Source organism: Homo sapiens, chromosome 9 (assembly GCF_000001405.40).
Source record: "Homo sapiens chromosome 9, GRCh38.p14 Primary Assembly".
Lineage (NCBI taxonomy): Eukaryota > Metazoa > Chordata > Mammalia > Primates > Hominidae > Homo > Homo sapiens.
Window position 1 is genome coordinate 3,841,932 of NC_000009.12, and position 22,530 is coordinate 3,864,461.

The window sequence follows — 22,530 nt, forward strand, 5'->3', positions numbered from 1 at the left end:
AACTCACAAGCAATCTTTTGACCAGGGCTACTTGGACCTAAAACAGAACAAGGGAAGCATGGTAAAGAATGAAGATTTAATTTTAAATGCCCTTGTCTTTCCAACTAAGCTTTGCTGTAAGAAAGATCCGGCAGAGAAGATTCCAGACAGAGATTTCATGGATTACTAAAAGGAAGTGCTGCTGCATCTCAATTCCCTTCAGCCTCCCCTGAAATCTGTGTGAGCCAGCCTGGTTCTATAGCTTTTTAAAAGACTTCCCCAGCTGGGTGCGGTGGCTCACATCTGTAATCCCAGCATGTTGGGAGGCCGAGATGGGTGGATCACGAGGTCATGAGTTTGAGACCAGCCTGGCCAAGATGGTGAAACCCTGTCTCTACTAAAACTACAAAAATTAGTCTGGTATGGTGGTGGGTGCCTGTAATCCCAGCTACTCGGCAGGCTGACGCAGAAGAATTGCTTGAACCTGGGAGGTGGAGGTTGCAGTGAGCCTAGATCACACCACTGCAGTCTAGCCTGGGGGTCAAAGCAAGACTCTGTCTCAAAAAGACCTCCCCAAGAGATAAAGGGAGGAGGAAGCTAGAGAGTCTTAACCTCTTGAGTCACAGGCAAATTGCTTCCTTTGGGTTATCTCCGACTGGGGAGCCACGGTGAGAGGGCATTGAGCCCTACACTTGGTGTCTAGGCCAATGATTCTTACCAGGGTTGGGGGGCATCAGCTCCACCTTGGCATGTGTGTTGAACATGCACATTCCTGAGCTCTACGGCCGACTCTGGAAGAAGTGCCTGGAATTCTGTATATTTAATAAGGTATTTCTTAAAAGTTTGAGAGGCTCTAAGAGAACATCTTTAGATGATTTACAAACATCTGAAAGTTTTCCAAGTGAAATACCAATTTAAAACAACAACAGAACGGCTCTAATTTCATTTGAAATGGAGAGAGGGAGTTCTTCCCATGGGCATCTCTTCCCCTTGGGCAGGCTCCCAGCCCTTTCTGCTGGTAGATGGGGCTCTTGGGGATAAGGTGGTGATGATTGTTCCAAAAGGGCCTTGAATTACACTCTCAGTAGATATGGATCCAGATGACTTGCCTGGCTCTCTCTCCCAATGCCTGTCTCTCACATGTCAGTTCTTGGTCAAGGTGAAATCATGGGACCTAATTTGAGTGACTCAGAAGTCTTGTTCTCACTGTTGGTCCCATACTGATCTTGTGGCTTAGACTTCTGTTGTCCAGCTGTAACCAAACTCCCACATTACATCCGCTTTACTAACTAGGTGATTTTTTGCTTCTTCGAATCCGAGTCTGTTATTACACAAATTTCCAGCACTCTAATCTAAAAGTGGGCCCCTACCTCATCCTTGCCAGTGATCCAATGACTCAATTATTTTTCCCTCCGAACCTCTGCTTCATAGCTGAGTCTCTATTATATATGGTTAGGCTTCCCCAAAACCTACTCTCTGGAACATTATGTTAAGATTACATTTGGGCTTGAAGTAAGAGTATGGAAACCTATATAAGTGGCTTTGAGATAGGAAAGTGGATGTTGTATTTGGGAAACCTGACATACATCACTGGATCCCGGGATCTCTGTTATCTCCATCTGGCTACCAGGAAGCCTGCCTTTGTATCTTGTCAGGCATTCATCCAACAAGTATTTATTGGGCAATTTCTGTATACCCATAGTTACTAGGCACTGATAAAAATTATGTATGTAAGAGTGATTTATAAAACATATATTGATATATGAATGTAGGTACTGCCACTGACCTCATGGGTATTGACAAAAATACCACATCAGCCCAGATCCACAGATGCAAAGAACCTTGGGTAATTATTTGGCCAATTCAGATTCCCTGAATGATTTTGTCACAATGGCAAGGAAATTTAAGAACTTATTTTGGGATGTGTGAGATGAGGTTGGGTTTGGTGATGAACGTAAGAAGGGAGGGTTCAGTAGTCATACTTAAGTGAACTAGAAAAAATACCGAAATGTTTTTATTTCAATAGACTTACATCTTGTAAGGCCTAGTTCTCAAAGACCTCACGAAAGAATGACATAAAGAGTTTAGTCTGAACAATCTGGTTAGAGAGGGGAAATTCCTGTAATCAGAAAGAGCACTCACAATTCTACGTAAACCAACGAGAAATTTTAAGGGAATTGGGATTGTTTTGTAACATGTTGCTGAGCTCAGAGGCTGTGAATGGGGACAGATCAAGCCAGTTCTAGCATTCTATTGTTTTTGTTGTTCTGTTTTATGAAGAGAGTGGCCTCGCTACCAGCAACCCAGATGTTCACTGATGTATTTTAAGGAAGCTCCATCTATAGCTGTTACATTTTTTTCTTCTTCTAAACCATCAATTGTTTACCATATTTATAAGGGTAATTCCAGTTTAAAATATAAGAAATATAAGACATAGATTGTCATTAACATGTTTAGCCCTGAAGAGTCCAACAGAGGAACGCCTAGAATAGTGTTATCAGAAAAACAATTAATTCATTTTAAGAGTTCCCTTCATTAGAGGCCAACTTCATGAGTTTCAGGTATAAGAACATTTGCTTCTAGAAAGATGTCATTACTTCCCCCAAAGAAAGAAAAAGTGCTAAGTCTATAATAATATTAATTAAACACTTTCTATAGGCATTTTTAAGTTGACTGACGAAGTCATGATGGTCAATGATATAAGGGATTTTTCTGGATATTTCTTTCTCATCAATAAATTTCTGAGTTCCAATCAGGAAAACAAACTGTCTTGCTGCAAATGACACAGCTTGACTGACAGGGTGAAAGATACTTAAATAATGTAAAAACCCAGGTCCTAGCTCTTGTTATTTAATCCCTGTTACTATTAATACTGTCTTTAAGTGTTCAATGAAAATATAAAAAGATGCTCAATTACATTACTAGCTAAAGGAAAAATTAAAGCAAGTCACCAATCTTTGCTTTACAAATCGGCAAAATACTAACATTCAGTGTGAGGAAATGGGCCCTGTGATGTGCTGCTGATGAGAGTCTAAATTAGTATAGCCTTCCTAAAAGAGTATGTGTCAATACCTATCCAACTTTAAAATGTGCAACTCAGTAATCCAGCATTTTCTCTTTTAGAAATATTTCCTAAGAAACTGTGCAAAGATATATATATATGTGTGTGTGTGTGTACAGGAGTGTTTATATAAACATGCATATATATATGAAGAGATTTAACAGAATTGCTAGAAAAAGTAAAAAATGAAAAAAATGTTCATCAATAAGGGAATGATTTAAAAAATGATGACCTATTCTTATGAGAGCTGTACAATTAAGAAGACTCTATATGCAATGACCTGGAAAGCAAAAGCATATATTTGACTAAGTTTAAAAAAATCAAGTCATAAAACAAAATATAGAATGTGAGGTGCAGAACGTGAGGCCATTTTTATAACAGGGCATATGGGCATATACATAGACACAGTTATGTCTCCTTCTATGAGCATTTAAAAAGGTCTAAAAGAATACTTGCCAATCTTTTAATAGTCATTACCTTTGAGCAGTGGAATTGGGGCAAACATAAGGCTGGGAGGGGACTTAAACTATAAGTTTCAGTACTGTAAGGACTTTAAAAAACTGAACAAGGAAAATTTTTCTTTTATAATATAAAAAGTCAGTAAGAATTTGTAAATTGTATGTAAGGACTGTGCTAAAAGCCCAGGAACCCAGGTTTGTTGATTTATAATAGTAATTAGGCTTCCAAAGTTTCCCCCAGCATACCCGTACTTGAGCAAGCACAGTGCATAATGGCATGTACACATACACACGTGCATGCCCACGCACGCACACACACACCCACACACACACACAGTGGGGTAATCCCATTGGGAGCCGTTAGATAGAGAGCTCTCCCCTCCCCATGGGGACAGCCCCCAATCAAAGGCTTAATAGCAGCATTGCAGAATGGCTAAAAGCACAACTCTGGAGTCAGATGGTCCTGGGTGCAATTTCCAGCTCCACTGTTTCAAGATTTAAAACTTCTGGGCACCACAGTGATTTAGATTCCCCACCTGTAAAATGGGAGTAAACAATGCCTTCTTTATAGTGTTGTTATGGAGGATTAGTGAGCAAGGGCATGACAGGCATTCACTACACTGCCTGACACAGAAAAAAGTGATTTTTCAGCTATCAGTGTCCAAAGACATGCAGTCAAGCAGTTGGTGGGAAATGACTTCATCTTGCAAATCACAGCACCTCTACTGACAGCAGAATGTTAACCCTATAAGGAACCGCATATTTATGGTTCCGTACTTAACTTTCAAGCAAAAGCAATTCCCAAGTAACTAAAAATTTCCATAATACTGTATCAGTAGGCACCACCACAAAGTATGATTGTGGGCTTTGGGGTCAGACTGGGTTTATAAAACCACCTCTGATACTCACTAGGTATATGAGTTAGGGCATGGTACTTAAGCTCTTCCATTGTCTCACCTGGGAGGTTGCTCTGGACTTGCTCAGAGCACCAGGTATCTGATACACAGTAGAAAAATAACAATAACAGCTGCAATGACGTGAGCATCTACTGTAGTCCAGGCATTCTCTCATTCTTGTGCCAAGTCTGAAACAGGGGTGTCAGTATCATCTATTAAACTTGAGAACCTCAGAATCAGGGCATTGCATGACCTGCTCATAGGATTCCAGTTAGTAACTGCCATCTTCTTGCCTCCAAACTGAAAATGTTTTCTTAAGCAAAGGACTGGTATCTATGGGCACTGTGAATTCCTCACAATCCCTCTTCCACAGGGCTGCCATGGCCCAGAACTTTACTACCACACACTCAGTACCAGCTGTGTCTCAGTATCCTCTTTTATTATGCAGATACTGACAAGAAGCAGTAATATATTAAGTTTACCTCAATGTGTAAGTGAATTGTTAGTTCATCCTATTTCCTCTGGGAAGAGGTCTCAGGCAGATGGTAAGCACTGGGTATTTAAAGATGGGGGCAGGGCCTGGCGAGGTGGCTCATGGCTGTAATCCCAGCACTTTGGGAGGCTAAGGCAGGGGGGTCACCTGAAGTCAGGAGTTCAAGACCAGTCTGGCCAACATGGCAAAACGGTGTCTCTACTAAAAATATAAAAATTAGCCAGGTGCAGTGGCAAGCGCCTGTAATCTCAGGTACTCGGGAGGCTGAAGCAGGAGAATCACTTGAGCCCGGGAGGCAGAGGTTGCAGTGAGCCGAGATCGCGCCTCTGTACTCCAGCCTGGGCGACAGAATGAGACTCTGTTTCAGAAAAAATAAAATTAAATAAATACATAAATAAAAAAAAATAAAATAAAGAGGGGGCAGAGAAACAGGCAGGAAGTGCCCAGAGAAAAGAGGGGCCCAGATAAACTTGTCTGTAAGTCACAATTTTGCCAAGGACTGGCTCTGCCAATCAGTCTAAGAAGCCATAAGCAAAAATCCCTTTATTCTTGTCTTTTCTTTCTGTTCATTCGTATTTATTTAATGAGCAGTTATTAAGCACTTACAGTGTGCAGAATATTGTGGGACAATGTAGTCCCTGTCCTGAGACTTACAATTTAGCAATAGTTGATTCAATCATTTAATACTCATATTCATCAAACATAGCACATTAATATGGTGAGTTTAATCTGTGTGGGTGCACATGCACTCATGCTTGTGTGTGCAGATGCTTAGTTATATATGTAGATTATTCACAGTTCAGTCATTTCCATAATCAATCATTCCAACACCTTTTCTGGTTCACATGACCATCTCACACCCCTTCCACAAAACTCAGCATGTTGAAATGCTTACTGCACTCTGCATATACACCTAAAATTAACTTTTGTTTTTTAGAATTAGAACACAGTCTGAATTTCTCAAGTACTACTTATGTAAAACTGTTCTTGGGGTAATTTTGTAGTAATTAAGTATATGAGAGTAATTAAGGACTTCTCCAAATCTAATCATCAATCCCTGGTACTGTGTAAGCGTTAATAACATCATGGCTGATATGGAAAATTATTCCTGATTATGACTGCTGATGATAACATCAGAATAACATGAAGTTCACTCATCGGCTCATTTCTTTTGTGAATATGTCACAACTTTCTCCATGAAATCTATTACAATGTTGATTTATAATCAATTATATTTATCTTTCTGGGATTTCAAGATGTGACACAATGCTTAAGTTCTAAGCAATACAATTTCTTGACTTACTGCTTTATTATTTCATAACCTCATATATGCAGTTATGATGAAATTTTCTGTGGGAGTGTTTACTGTCTTTAAAATCAGCCTTTAAAAACAACCTCTAGGCCGGGCATGGTGGCTCATGCCTGTAATCCCAGCACTTTGGGAGGCCAAGGCAAGTGGATCACCTGGGCTCGGGAGTTCAAGAGCAGCCTGGCCAACATGGTGAAACCCCGTCTCTACTAAAAATACAAAAAATTAGCTGGGCGTGGTGGCGCATGCCTGTAATCCCAGCTACTCTGGAGGCTGAGGCAGGAGAATCGCTTGAATCCAGGAGGCGGAGGTTGCCGTGAGCCGAGATCGCCCCACTGCACTCCAGCCTGGACGACAAGAGCGAAACTCTGTCTCAAAAAATAAATAAATAAAATAAAAATAAAAATAACCTTTAAATATTTAACACTATAAATTGGCAGCAGCGAAATCAGTCATGGCTACAGCCCATAGGCATCTTGCTGGAAAGTACCATTGCACAATCACTGTGAGTAAACAGCCAACTGAGGAAGAAGTTAGCTAAACTTGTACTTGCCACCTCGCTGCCATTTAAATATCAATGCTCTGATATTTCTACAGTTTGAAAGATGCTTTGGCTCTTTGGTGGGACAAGCCATTTACAATGTGTTTTGTTCTTGGAGTCCTGTTGGTGGCTGGAAACCCTTTGTTTCTTGTTGCAGTCAATTTGAACTGGACTGACAAGCTTACAGCTCCAGACTGAGGTAAGAAAATGCCACCATTGTCTGGGAGCTGACTGGCCTGCTTTAGGAAGCCTGCAGGCAGGGCATGCTTTAAATCATGGGAAAGACAGCTCAGGAACCACAGGAGCCGTGAACAACAGAGGGAGGGCGCCCCCTTCCCACTGCTGCTGCACTGATTTCAAACAGCCCAGGCTGAGGAGGTAGCTTCATGGTGTTTTCCTAACGAAATCTAGTAAGTGGTACATGGATGACAGAAATCTCTGTGTTGGCAACTGGAAACTCCAGAGGGATGCAAAATAAGAGCACACAGTGGAAAGTACGGAAACCTAAGAGAATGGAAGAGATGGGAAAACATGGGGTAGTCTACCCCGACTTCCAAGGAAGGATATGAATGAATCTGTCTGTGATTAGTCCCATTTTACAGATTAGAAAACCATCCTAGAGTGTTTGGCAGCCCCTCCGGTGTGCCTATCCAGTAAAAACTGTGAACGGAATCTCCGTTTTGTTAAGTATGGCAATGCGCTAAAATATCCATCTTCCCTGACCCCTTTGCCTTGTGACTAAGAGTACGCTTGTCCTTTACTCTTCACCCTCGTCTCTGCCTGAAACTGGGACAAGATGTGTAGAATATCAGCATTCATGCTGTGACCAGGAGGATGGAAGCCACCTGTTAACAATGACAAAGCACAAAGTTGGGAGGAGGCATGGGCACTGCTGACTCTGTGAGGCTCCTTCTCCACCTTGCACTGTTTCCTGTTAGACGTCTTGTCATGAGAGAAGGCTAAGGGCGGTGGCTCATGCCTGTAATCCCAGCACTTTGGGAGGCTGGGGCGGGTGGATCACTTGAGGTCAGAAGTTCAAGACCAGTCTGGCCCACATGGTGAAACCCCGTCTCTACTAAAAATACAAAAAATTAGCCAGGCATGGTGGTATGTGTCTATAGTCCCAGCTACTCAGGAGGCTGAGGCAGGAGAATAGCTGGAACCCAGGAGGCAGAGGTTGCAGTGAACATAGATTGCGCCACTGCACCCCAGCCTGGGTGACAGAGTGAGACTCCATCTCAAAAAAAAAAAAGACATCTTGTCATGAGAGAAGAGTAAACTGCACACTGGGGTTGTTGGTGCGGTTGCTGTAACGTGATAAATGAACCCCGAAAAATCTTGTCCTCTGCACAAATGTGTATTAAAAATAAGGTCTTTGAGAAATCTAAAATTGGGTCAGACCACTGAAAATCTTTGATACCTTCTAATTACAGCAGTAATAAAATATCAAGAGGAAATTTAGGCAGGCAGTTCAGTGTGGCTATAGGCTCCTGGGTGGTTATTAAAAATCACACAAAATAGACTGGAAAGGCTGGCTTACAGGTACTGAAACAACAAGTGATAGCAGGGCCCAGTGCACAGGAAGGCGTGTGATCTGCCATGAGCTGAAGGCCACGCAAGGCTGGATGTGCACCTCTGGGAGGGAGCCCCCTGGGACTGTGCTCATTTCAAATGTTATTAAAATAGAGCTGAAAGGGCTCCTGTCTGGACAGCAGCTAGGCTGAGGACGTTTTTGTTCTCTTCTCTTGCTATTCCAGCTTTTGTCTAGGAAAGACTGTATGTGAACAAACACAATTGCACATTATCCTGACATCATTCCCCTATTAACCAGTTGCACCTGAGTGAACTGAACTCTTTAATAAGTCACTGTTGTGGTGTTCTGTACATGTGGCCCAACATAATCCCAACAGTTAGAGCTTAATGTTCCTACCTCTCCCATTCCAGTCTCTACACAGCACTCTACTTGACTTTCCTAAAATACTGGGCTGACTTCTTCATTCGATAGGTTACAGTTAGCATGGCACAAAACCCTTCGTGAGCTGGCCTTGTGAGTTCTCCATTCTCTTCCTCCTCTACTCCACACCTTAACCTGTGTACTCCAGCCATCCCTTTGACTCTTCCCTCTGTGCACACACACGCCACGGTGTCATTTCCGTTCTCACCTGTGCTCTTTGCTTCCCCTCTGCCTGGAATGCCTTTACTCACTTGGCCTGCCCAATAAGGTATTTATCTTCAAAACCCTCTTCAAGTATCACTTCTACAGACCCTTCTTTGACACCTTCTTCTGAATAAATCAGGTGCCTTTTGCACCTTCTCTTATTGCATATGTCACAGTGCGTTGATTAAATGACATTCATGTTTGCATTGCACATAGTGGGTAACCAGTGAACACTTGCTGAACTGAACTTGGTGTCTCCTTGATGGGCCCAGAAGCAGGAAAGTTGTGAAAATGCTGTTGTAGGAATTCTCGTGGCATGCTGATAATCCTGGAGTGAATAGGGTATTTAGAAAGAAATGATCCATTAGTCCAGTAACAAAATGTACACATATCAACTCTTGGGCAACTAATCCAGGCAACATTCTGAAGCTTGTCTGGGCAAGAGAAGTGTCCTAAGGAGAAAGAAAAGACCGAAAAACAAGCTTACATGATTGCAGAGTGTCCCTATGTTTACATCTAAAATAAAGGACTAAAGTGCACTAAGAAGTTGCCTTGGAGATCTCACCCGAATGGAGACCCGTAAATACTACCAAGATTCAAACATTAAAGGAAATTATACCTCATTCCCTGTACTAATGAAGGCAAAATGAATGAATGAGATGGATGCAGAGTCAACAAACCTGAGCTCTGGTCCTGGGTCATTCACTAGGTAAGGAAACTTGAAAAAGCAGTGCTAGTAATCTTTCAAAGTGTGCCTTTTACAAAATGCCGCAACAAAAATATAGGGAGAGCACACAATGTCTAGGCTCAGTATCATTTAGTATTACAGCACGATTAACAAAACTTGATGGATCTCATCTTCTTCATTTGGAAGACCAAAGCCCCTCTGACTTGTAACCCTTCATAGCTCTCTGTAATGCAACAGCATCTACACACAGAGCAATCTACATTTCCCCATGGAAAAATATAAATGTATATTTATTTTAGTGTGCCTTTGCCTTAGAAACATGTTTTTGATTAAGAATATGGCTTGGGGCTGGGAGTGGTGGCTCATGCCTGTAATCCCAGCACTTTGGGAGGCCAAGGTGGGCAGATTGCCTGAGGTCAGGAGTTTGAGATCAGTCTAGCCAACATGGTGAAACCCCATCTCTACTAGAAATACAAAAAAATTAGCTGGATGTGGGGGCATGCGCCTGTAATCCCAGCTACTCAGGAGGCTGAGGCAGGGGAATTGCTTGAACCAGGGAGGTGGAGGTTGCAGTGAGCCAAGAACGTGTCACGGTACTCCCGCCTGGGTGACATAGTGAGACTACGTTCCAAAAGAAAAAAAAAAAAAGAATATGGCTTGGAAATTTAGACGTTTTGATAAAGGCACCTGCATAGTTTGCTAAGGTAGCAATGCCCAGACATTTTATATTCTTATTTGTCTCAGTTCTTGTCTCTAAAAATACAGTGATGGTATTTCTCCCTGACCTCTACCTACGGCAGGGAGTATAGAAGAAATGGGGGTGACTACACTCATTAAAACCACGAAGTTTTTGAAAGAGAGAACAAACACTCACTTGAGCTATTGCATTAGCAACCCTGACACTGCTTTGGGCTTTAAAAATCAAGTTTTATTAGGTGACGGTGTTCCCTGTTACCAAGATGCTGTACAACTCCAGCAAACTCGTCCAACAAAAGCTGAAAGGCATGATCAATAAATGCAACTCATTAAGAAGGTCTCATTTTACCCTCAGCATTGTATTGCCCACTTGAAAAATAGTAGATAAATTTTGTCCTTACCCTGAAGAGTAGTAGATAAGAACCGCTAGAAATGTTGCCTACAAAGTTCCAGAAAAACAATTTCAGAAAATGCTTGGAGAAGGAAGTAAGGCTACATCTGGATACCTACCAATTAACTACTAGCAGTGGACCAATGGCTAATACAGGGGCACGCCCTTTGCAACCTCATTGCAACAGTCACTGGCCCATCTTCCTGGAGAAAGTCATAATTTCTCAATTTGCCTAACTATATTTTAAACTTATTTTTAGGGCTGATATTAGCAGTTTCTCATTGGCCATGGGGAATTTTTTAACAATTAGAATGTGAAAGTTAGGGCCCAGCACAGGTGACTCACACCTGTAATCCCAACACTTTGAAAGGCTGAGGCAGGAGGATCACTTGAGCCCAAGAGTTCAAGACCAGCCTGGGCAACATAGTGAGACTCCATTTCTACAAAAACAATAAATGAAATTAGCCAGGTGTGGTGGTGTGTGCCTGCAGTCTCGGCTGCTTGGGAGGCTAAAATAAGACTGAACCCAGGAATTTGAGGCTGCAGTGAGCTATGACTGTGCCACTGCACTCTAGCCTTGAGGACAGAGCAAGACCCTGTCTCTAAAAAGTAAATTGTTTTTAATGTGAGAGTTAAAAAAATCCCAACAATTTCAAGTTGACAATACATTCATTATTTAACTAAAAAAAAGAAATGTGGAAGAAGAGTATTTTGCCAAGAGGTAGGGGAAAATAATGGGTAGATCCCATTTTCTGTATCCTCTTGTTCATTATTCATTTGTTGAATGAGGGAGTGTCAATCACTTAGTCAGTAAATATTTATTAAATGCCTACTTTGCACCAAGTATTATACCTGCCCTAGGGCTACAAACATTATCCCTATTCTCAAAGAGTCTAATTTTTTAAAAAAGAAGGGAATAGAAGGAAAAGCATTAAATTAATTAAGCTCCTACTCTGTGCCAGGTGCTTTTTTTGTCAAATCTTCCTAACAACTGAAGAGAGAAGATAGATGAAATGCCCCCCACTTAACAAATGTGAACTAAGACTCCATGATTTGCCCAGAGTCACACAGTTCAGGGTAGACTAGTGTTTGCATTCAAATTGGTCTAATTTCAAAACACTTTTTAAAGATTTCTTTAGAGAAAAAAGAAGAAATCACCCATTATCCTACCATCCTGATATAAAACCGTCAATATTTTGGAGAACTTCCTTCCAATTTTTCTTCTACACATAGGTCAATTTTCAAATTTTTAAAAATGTGTTTCACAGTTGTAATCAAAATGTGTTATACTGCATTTTCTTGGAACTTTGACACCATCAACTGTGAAATGCTCCATTACTCTAGATAGCACCAGAAAGAAAAATCACTGCCAATTATATGATGCCACTGTGAGCTATGTCCAGATTTCAGCGATGTTAAAATGTGAAGGTGAAGAATTTGTGTCTTAGAATCAATGGCCTACTCTACACTTCACATAGCCCACACTCAGGCTGTGCATCTACTGCCTGGAGTGGTGAGGATGGCTTCATGGCACAGGGGACCTGGTTCTCTTTCAGAGTAGATAAACTCCTCGACTGGACTGGCAGGCCCTCCTCAGAGGGAAGAGGGCTCAATTTGACTGTCTTTTGCATGCCTTGATGCCTTGTCTTGTGCACAGTAGGTACTCAAGAAGTATTTCTTGGTTGAATAAATACATAACTAAAGCTTGAGAAACAATGTATAGCCAGCAGAAGGTAAAAATGACCATGGGCCTGCAGAATGGTACAAGTACAAATTCTGATGAGGGTTTGTGTGGCTACACTGGGGAAGTGGGGAGATGAGATGGACGGAACTTTGAGCCAGAACCAATAGCTCTGGTTTTTCAAGGTCTCTTCCTTCCTACAGCTGGCTGCTGTTTTAATATCACCTCGTCTTTGCTGTTCAGGCCTTTACGTTGATGTTCTTTTTTTTTTTGAGACAGAGTCTCGCTCTGTCACCCTGGCTGGAGTACAGTGACGCGATCTTGGCTCACTGCCAGTTCCGCCTCCCGGGTTCATGCTATTCTCCTGCCTCAGCCTCCCAAGTAGCTGGGACTACAAGCGCCCGCCGTCACGCCTGGCTAATTTTTTTTTTTTTTGTATTTTTAGTAGAGATGGGGTTTTACCATGTTAGCCAGGATGGTCTCGACCTCCTAACCTCATGATCCACCCGCCTCGGCCTCCCAAAGTGCTGGGATTACAGGCGTGAGCCACCATGCCCAGCCTACTTTGATGTTCTTATCCAAGCCTAGCTCCATAGTACTAGTTGATTCTGCCATCTTAGAAAATTATTCACACTCAATTTGCATATTGATTTAGATTTGTTTGTTTGGGAACATCACCCATTAATTTCAAGTATAACTCATACAGAGAAAATTCAGGCATCAGCAAGAGGCAGGTAGAGGACAGTAGTATTTTTCAGAAGTTGAAACATTCAGCCTAAAAGGACAGTATCTCTTCTGCTTATACAGATCTGATTGCCCTAGGAAGTAAAAGCCTGTGACAGTTCAAATCTATATGACTTGGCAATTCAACTTTCTATGGATGCTCACTAAGATACGTGCCTGAAATGGCAAAATGAGTCTAAATAAAGAAAAGAAACTAAGACTTAGTTCTCTATGCATATTCCCCATTAAACACAAGATCTGCACATTTAGACAATCATTACCATTTCTCTTGCTTTCCTTTTCTCCTTTTCATCCTCCATTCACCTAACAAGTATCTGTCTCTTTGCCACTTGTGAAGAGCTGTGTTAAGTTCCCTAAAAGATATAATTTTCTGATGGGTCAGAAAATGCTCACAAAGAAGTCTGCACATTAATAGTGAAAGTATGTTTTATTCACAGATAAGTAAAACACAAGGTAGAGGAAGCATAAATACTACCAGAGAAAGACAGGCGATATAAAATCAGAGTTTAGAGCCTGGAGAGATGACATCAGCTGGGGGATCAGGAAGGGCTTCAGAGAGGAGGTGTCATTCCACCTGCGCCTTGAAGGACGGAGAGGATGTGGACCTATGAGAATGAGAGCAAAAACCTAGCAGAGCAGAGGCATGCTTGGGCACAAGAACTCCTGTCATTTCTTTCTCCATGGGCTGTCTATTGTTTAGAAACAGGATGCTATTGCTGGTGTTAGAGCCCTGGCCAATGAAAAAACCAGCAACTTGAGCTGACCAGTGCGATGTGTCATAAATCATACCATCATCAGGCCAAAGTCAGGAAAATACCATAGGATTTCATGCCTATCAAGTGTGAAATTTTAGAGGCAAGTCATGAAAGCCTAAGCCTGGTGTAGAACAGAGCATCTGAAATCCACGACAGGTAACTAAGATGAAAAGCAACAGCACAATGTCACTTTTCAAAACTCAAGGGACTGCCAGCTTCTTGCTTACCATGGACATGGATACCATTTGGTTGAAAAGAAGAGTTTGTTTCTGGCTGATAGGACTTCAGGTGTGAACCTGATGGCTGCTGGGTATAGGGAGGCTGTGTTCTTTGCAGTATTGAAGAAGGAGCTGGAACTCTCCGGGGGCTGATGTGGTGAGGAGATGGAGCAGAAGGTGCAAACCTGAGAAAACAATTATAAAAGGAAACATGAGGGACATAAAACAGCAGGAACAAAGACAAACTCTCCAAAGCCAAATTCTCACCTCCCATTCTGGCTATACAAGAGCGTGACAACAAGCCTTTTAAAAAAAAATCTTTCAGGATTTTTCTCTACCCTCTCTCCCTCCCCACTGCCATTTAACCACTGAGTTCTCAACTGAGATACAGAGGGAATAAACAAGTACAATAAAGGGAAAACCTACTCACAGTTTGGGTTTCTCAAGATTTCTAAGCTGCATTTCAAATACACTATGTTTGGTGAAATTCAAAGTACATCTTTTGCCAAGCCCTTTTTCTGCTAATTTTTAAAATCTATTTGCATTTAAGGGGAAATTTGATCCGTATGTTTCTGAATCATTTACACTTAGCTCACAAACATTTTGTTTGTTTTGTAAGATATATCTGAGGTCCAAGAAGTGTTGTTACAAGTCTTTATTATGAGCCTCTCTAATCCTATTCTCTTTGAACAATGCATTTGCTTTTGCCAAGAATGAATTAACTTAAACCTCGAAGGTCAAGTATGGCTTGAAACCCACAACCCACGAAATCTGCGTGGGCTCCGTGCTTGGCAAAGAGTGTTCCTGAGGGTATGATAGGAAGATGATGTAGGAGTCACATGCGCCAATCACAGTAAGACTATTGGTGGTTTCTGGGGTGGGGGACATGTTGATGTTTAAATAAGGAGATGTTGTCAAGAAACCTGGGATATGAAATGGATGATTGTACATTGATCTTCCAATTGTGAAGGAAAATTGGAAAGACCTGACTCACTATGTTTAAAATGACAGTTTATGCTTTCTAACATTGAAGGCAAGATGTAATTGTTAGAACAATGTTACAGTTTGGCAATGTCTATCAAATATCAAAATGATCCTCCAGGTGCCAGTTCAGTAGGGGACTGACAGAATATAGGGGAGAAAGGAGCAGGAAGTCTGTCAATGCAGTAAAATGAAGCAGCAAATGAATTGTTTAGTTTCCTCAAAAAGTCCCAGTAAGCTGAAAACTTTTAATCAGCTGTTCCTTACACTGTGTAGAAAGACAGGCTTTGTTTTGCAGTAACACGTATAGGTCACCATCTGCTTACATTGCTTATTTCACAGGAACAAATTGCTTTAACTTTGCTGGGCTTTTGTGGAGGGCCATAGATGATAAAAAGGGAAGATGAACTAGTCAAGCTTATAAAGTGATTGGAAACATTCTGAACCAGAATATTTAATAAGGCAGAGTTTCTATGTTTGTACTGTAGCAGTAAGAAAGCATGGGACAAAAATCTCATGTTCTTTTTGCTTTTCCCATGTGAGGTGTGATGAGACTATAGAAGAAAGTGAATGTAAGAACCAAGAAAGTAGGAGTAGGACTCGCTAACCTCTAGGGAAAAGAAGTCAAGGCGAGGAGCTTAAACAAACCAGCTGGGTTGGGATGCCTGTTTAATTGATCATTTACATCTTCATTCTGCTGAAAGAGAATAGTAAGTGACTGCACCGTGCTGAGTAAATACACATTTTCTGAGCATATCATCTTAACTGGTATTACCCTGAAAAGATCTGCTGAATAGCTTGAGAGAAAACACAGCAAACAAATCCTGGCACTGCCCTGAGAACATCTAGTAAAACTCATTTGCCAGGATTCCTCATATGAAGGCTATTTTCTGGGGGAACGTGTTTTTAACGTGTCTTACAAGTTGCTCTGAGGTTGTGGGAGAGCGATGAGCAATTGTGAGATCATAGACTTTAGGGGCAGAAGGAATCCAGGTTAACACCTAATCCCAAATCCCCTGGTCCTTAAAGATCCCCAGAGATGGAGGCGGGAAGGATCTGAATTGCAAGGCAACCTATGGTACTATTTAACAGTCATTGCTGGTGTCCCAGTTTTGTTTTCTGGGGCAAAGGAGCAAGATCCTTTGATCGGCTCCCCAATTCTGTTTCCTAGGTTGTAAATCAAAGATGCAACTTGCTCTAGATGGTTTTCCAGTCCCTTCTTCTGGAATATCTGCTATCCTCTTTCTGTTGAGGACTGATGGGACACAGAGATGTGTGAATGGGCAAGTCAGCAAGTAGATCTATATCTAGATCCTATATATATATGATTCTATATAATTATATGCTGATTAAAATCATTCTTATGTACTCATCCATGGAAGTTCCAAACCAGGGCCATGCTCTCTTGACTACCAAATATTACCCAGTATAATAATATCATTGAATAAAGAAAAAAATATGATAGGTACAAACCATGGTTTTAGCACTGCTATCTCAAGGACATGAAGGAATAAAATATCATGGCTTCAACTGACTCAAGATTTTGCTTTTTCCTAATTCAGGCTGAATTTTCCTCTATGTTAGTCAAATAAATGAATTTATACAATATAAAGTTAATATAATTTCAAAACATAGTATGACACCCCATATAAAGTATTAATAGAAATTTAAATATAAACTATTCTAAGTAAAATACACATTTAAAGTAGGCTTTGATTTGAAAAGGAAAGAAATAGTACAAAAATGTTAACTTTTATACATGTAGAGAAATAAAATATGACAAGAAGTGATCACAATTATCCAGACAATTGCTAGGAACAAGGAAGTAGATAGGAAGCCACCACTAAAAAGTCCAGCATAAGAAGTAAGTGTATATATAGGATTGATTTTCAAGTACGGCAGATAGAATCCATTTTGTTACTGTGTAAAAACACCACATAGTACCATACTTAAAATCTTTCAAAATGTATTAATTGAAATTTAATATTTATAAAGTTAGTTACTTGTTAACCAGCTCATAGTAGAGTAGAAATAGTAAACTAAAATCAGGGGTGAGAGGACAGGAGAGGCATGGAGAAGATGAAGAGAGAGTCTTCCTGTTTGAGGTAAGGTCCCTGGGAATGTCAAAACACAGTAATGGACAACTCTTCTCTCAGCAAGAGAGATGCCAGGAGAGTGACTCAACAAGCTAACAAGTAGTCTGAGGTTATTTATTTGGTGCAAAAGCAAACAAACAAACAGAAAACACACATACTTAGATGCTCACTAAGCAAAAATAAACTGTTTTCACTATTGTTGGAGGCAGGATGGGGAACTCAGAACCCCATTTTCTAAGTGTCTGCACCTACTTTCCAACCCTGTTTCTTCGAAACACACACACACACACACACACACACACACACACACACACACACACACACATCAAAATGAATATGTTCTGAATATTCTGTCCCCAAAAGTTAACTGAGACTTTATTTTAAATCAAATGAAGGTAAATTAAATTTTTTTGATGCTAAAATAAACAAAACATTGTAATGCCGAGGATAAATTATAGTTATTTGCCATTTTCCCTCTTATGGAGTATCTTATTCCCCAATTATGTCAGATCAAGATGACATCACTCCCATTCATCTTCAGTTACAGCGTGTCCAAGAGCCAGAAGAGACACCTTCTGACATCTTTTCTAGGTCCAACCCTGTTCTCTAGCTGCTGATCTGCAGTTGACACTTCAGAGATTTCACTGGACATGGCTTATTAGTCTCTTCTTTAGCCTTTTATACTTCTTTGAAACAATAGATGATTGCTCTGTTAAATAGGCACATAACAGACTAGAAAAAAAAATTACTGCTTACCAGAAACAGATCGCACAAAAGCTAACCAGATAACTGAGTCAAACACTTCCACTCATTTGGTAGAGGAGTTTGTATAACCCTACCATGAGCAATGGCATGCAAAAGAAAAAAAGAAAGGGAAGGGGAACAGATTTTAAAACCTCATAAAAAATCCTCTGGGGGGCCAAGCGTGGTGGCTCACGCCTGTAATCCCAGCACTTTGGGAGGCCGAGGCGGGTGGATCACGACGTCAGGAGATTGAGACCATCCTGGCTAACACGGTGAAAGTCTGTCTCTACTAAAGATACAAAATATTAGCCGGGTGTAGTGGTGGGTGCCTGTAGTCACAGCTACTCAGGAGGCTGAGGCAGGAGAATGGCGTGAATCCGGGAGGCGGAGCTTGCAATGAGCTGAGATAGTGACACTGCACTCCAGCCTGGGTGACAGAGCAAGACTCTGTCAAAAAAAAAAAAAAAAAAAAAAAAAAAAAAACCTCTGGGGGATGAGGAAACATTTAAAACATTTCTGCAAATATGTATCTCCACCTATCTTAAAGAATGTCTGATTATTTGGGGGTATTTACTTGGCCACTCTCCTTCCCTTCTATGCCCTTCTCCATTGCTTGCTCAGCCCCAACCCCCTGTTATCATTGAACTCCCCAGCCATGCAGTGGGGTGGCCCAACAGCATTCAAACTTAGATTGTTTCTCATATCAGTAGCTCCCAACTGAGACACGTAGACCCTGAGACACTGAGAACTGCTTAGGTTCATGTGCAGAAAAAGTGGGAATGGCAGGAGAAGCAGATGGGCAAAGGAGAAGACAGACAGGCCAGAAGTCACACCCACCTGGGCTTGGATGCTGGGTCTGTCTGTTACTAGCTGGGTAAACAAGTAAATTCCCCACCTTTTCCCAGGATCAATTTCAAGCATAAAATAAAGGTTATCTCAACTTTCACTGAAGGTTCTAAAGTCCATGGTGACATTTATTCATTCAAGGGGTCTTTGTTGAGCACTAAATGTGTGGCATTGTTCTAAGCACTAGGGATAGAGCAACAAAAGACACATATCTCTGTCTTTGTGGAACGTATATTTTAGTAAGGGGAGACAGGCAGTGAAGAAATTTAGTAAGCAATGTATCTACTGGGCTAGAGGAAATGAATGCTATGGAGAAAAACATGGAGACAGCAAAGGGCGGGGTGGATTAGGAATAATTTTAAATTGAGAAGTCAGGAATATCAAAGTACTTAATACAATGAAAGTCTGATGCCTTCCGGGTGATCAACACATGTTTATGGAATGATCGATTGAATGTACATTTAAGGCATCCCTGACATTAACATGTATCCCTGTGTTCGAGAGCTGTGTAAGACTGTGGTCCCAGCAATGTATTAGAACGTCTATAGAGTTCTTAGAAAATCTTAAGACTCCTTCCTTCTTTGACTATTCAGATATAAACACTAAGGCTCAACAGAAAGTGAGGCATTTTTTATATTATTGGAGGGAATGTAAATTAGTTACACAATTGTAGAAGCCGTGTGGTGATTCCTCAAAGACCTAGAACCAGAAATACCATTTGACCCAGAAATCCCATTATGTACCCAAATCCCATTACTTTGGGTATATAATTCCATTATATACCCAAATGAATATAAATCATATAAAGATACATGCATGTGTACGTTCATTGCAGCACTATTCACAATAGCAAAAACAGGGAATCAATCCAAATGCCCATCAAGATAGACCGGATAAAGAAAATGTGGTACATATACACCATGAAATACTATGCACCCATAAAAAGGAATGAGATCATGTAATTTGCAGGGACATGGATGGAGCTGGAAGCCATTATCCTCAGCAAACTAATGCAGGAACATAAAACCAAACACTGAATGTTCTCACTTATAAGTGGGAGCTGAACAATGAGAACACATGGACACAGGGAGGGGAACAGCACACACTGGGGCCTGTTAGTGGGTGCAGGGGAGGGAGAGCATCAGGAAAAATAGCTAATGCATGCGGGGCTTAATACTTAGGTGATGGGTTGATAGGCACAGCAAACCGCCATGGCACATGTTTACTTCTGTAACAAACCGGCACATCCTGCAAATGTATCCCAGAACTTAAACTTAACTTAAATTAAATTTAAAAAAGAAAGTGAAGCATTTACTCATGTGGCTGATTTTCTAGTTCTAGAAGTAGTTAATGTTGGTCTTGTGTATAGGTCTCATATCTTGGTGCTGGGTTTTCCAGTGGAGTATCCTGAGTCCACAAATTCATACAATTATAGAATGTTTTAGTTGGAAAGGGCACTGGAGCACCATCTTATTTGGATGAAAAAAACAAATGCCCAACGAGGTAAAATAATTTGCTTAAAGTCACAAAGGTAAGAAGGACTTCTCTAGCGGAGATGGAAAGCAATCATGAGTGGTGGGGTGAGGGGGGAATGAAGAAGATTCCTGAGGGCATCTGAAATGTTCATCTTTATCATGGGCTAGTGGGAGAGCGTGTCAGCAACATACTACCTTTAAGAAATCTAGCAATGGCAAGTGTTGCTCAGTGTGCTTTGGTGAACTTGCTCAGCCCTGAACTGGAGTTCTTCATGCACAACATAGTATATACCTTTAGTCTTTCTAACTAGATAACTTCTTTCGGGTAGGGCTCTTTCCCGTGTGTATAAGTCCAAAGTATTTCTTTGTCAATGTACACATTTATTTCTTTAACAAAATTTACTAATAGATTGTGTTACCAGTCAAGCATGTCATAAATATTTCTTACTTTTCTTCATTTGTACTGTACGCACAAGCAGTTCCAGCCAGCAGTGCAGGACTGTGTGTTTTAGCACTGCTTTGGGGGTTAACACTTTGAAAAGAAGGAATTTGTGTTTTTACACGATCAACTAGATTAAAAGGCGGTATGTGTTCTGGATAGTTTTTCTTTCCCTCCGCCCCCCGTCTCTTCCACGGCGGCTACAGACCTCCCAAAGAAGGAAGGATTCATTAGAACAGCTTGTTTCATTGTATTCACACGAAAAATATTATTGATTTGCTGCCAGGGAGTAGAAATAATGGATATAAACTAGTCTACGATGGATTTGGGGAGGTATTTTTTATTTCCCCAAAGAATTGTGGGGTATCATCTGTGGCGGTTTTAAAATTCATCTGTGCAAACTAATCAATGAAAAATGGCTATAGCAGTTGGCCAACTGCAGAGGGGGAAGAAAGGAATCCTTTTCAAAACTTAAAAAGAAAAGCCCAGTTTTAAGGATTTCACATCTGATTTAACATCTAAAAAAACCCCGCAATGATAATACCCCACTTTGTATAGCCAGACAGCACTCCATTTTAGCAGACTTTAGTGGTCTTTATAACGATTTATGAATCACTTCATGAATTCCTGGCTGACTCATCTGGGTGACTATAGTATCTACTTATACTTCCCTTCTGTCTCACAAAAGAGACACTTGGACTCAGTTCAATCCAGATTTGTCCCCAAATGAATCACAGCACGTTACTGGGGGAACTGCAAATTGAATTCGGCTTCTGAGACAATCAAGACCAGCTTTCAGTAAAGAAGAAACAGCCGCTGGGAAGTGTGGGTAATTGCAACACTGTCCACTGGGGCAGGACTGGGGCAGGGCAAGAGCTGTGTGTCCGTCTGAGGACTCTGTCCCCAAATAGTCCAAGAGCCTAATCTGTCCCCTGGAAGAGCTTGTGCTCCCTATGAGAGGCTGGGTCAGTATTAACTGCAAATAATTCATAAGGTTGGAAAAGACCAGGACTCAAAAATGATGGCCTGAACCTACACTGAGCATGACAAAATGAAGTCTGTGAAGTTGGCTGTAGGTGAAACGATCACAAATACTTTTTGAAGGAGATGCTCATATACATCATGAGTGAGTGAGTGTGAGAAACAGAAAGGACAGAGTGTTCTGGAGGAAAGTTTCTCCTCTTGGGTGTAGGGAGCGAGTTGTAAGTCAAAAAAACAAACTAATCAATGCCCAAGGCAGAGAAGTGTTATTTTTTTTTCTTCGAAATGCTGAAATAGGACCCACAGCATTGCAGTGTTTCTCCCCTGTGGAAAGAAAAAGGGAGGAGGGGAGAACGTCTCGGGTATGTCAGAGAAATGAATTATGCAGGACCAAGAGAGGAGTTTTCTGGAATATCCTGACTGCAGAATTGGCTGTGACTCAGTTGTTTGTCTATTTCAGAATCTGACATGGGGAGAGAGGGAAGAAAGGCTGATTCTGCCAAATCCTCTCTTTAAAAAAGCACCAAACTGAAGAAAATTTATCCAGAGTGGTCCTAGACATTTGATGTAAAAAATTCTACTATGAAAAAAAAATCTGCAATGATATCATCTCTTGGGTTTCTCTGAGTGGGTCAGAGCAAGGGGATTAACTCATAGTCCTGTAGCAAAGGCAAGAATCTTTCTCTTGTTCAGCATGGTGTCAGACATAGCGTTCAATCTACTTTACAATAGAATGCATTAGATGAAAGAAAAACGTTCAGAAGAGAGTGTAATGAGAATGTCAGATGAGAAACAAGGCAAAAAATCAGTGTTATTTTTGTCTAAGCATGAGAAATGGAGGCATGGACATACAAAAAATGGACTATCCAGTATCCCAGTATCCTTCTCATGGTTTCAAAA

The 22,530-nt window shown here is 41.0% G+C and overlaps 1 protein-coding gene across 12 annotated transcripts in view, besides 1 other annotated feature; it reads right to left on the bottom strand.

The window, feature by feature from the left end:
* GLIS3 (GLIS family zinc finger 3) overlaps positions 1-22,530 on the bottom strand; it is a 666,339-nt gene that overhangs the window by 17,805 nt on the left and 626,004 nt on the right. For all 12 annotated transcript variants that reach the window (XM_047422890.1, XM_011517763.3, NM_001438912.1 and 9 more), the window contains one exon: positions 14,078-14,253. In XM_047422890.1, the coding sequence (XP_047278846.1) occupies positions 14,078-14,253 (176 nt within the window). The remainder of the gene's footprint in view (positions 1-14,077; positions 14,254-22,530) is intronic.
* Positions 20,702-21,901: an enhancer, noted in NCBI's record as "CDK7 strongly-dependent group 2 enhancer chr9:3862633-3863832 (GRCh37/hg19 assembly coordinates)". NCBI's record gives its function as "activates an origin of replication core promoter dependent on BRD2, BRD4, P300/CBP, MED14 and CDK7 cofactors, with strong dependence on CDK7, by STARR-seq in HCT116 cells {active_cell/tissue: HCT116}" and the evidence as "EXISTENCE:reporter gene assay evidence [ECO:0000049][PMID:35650434]".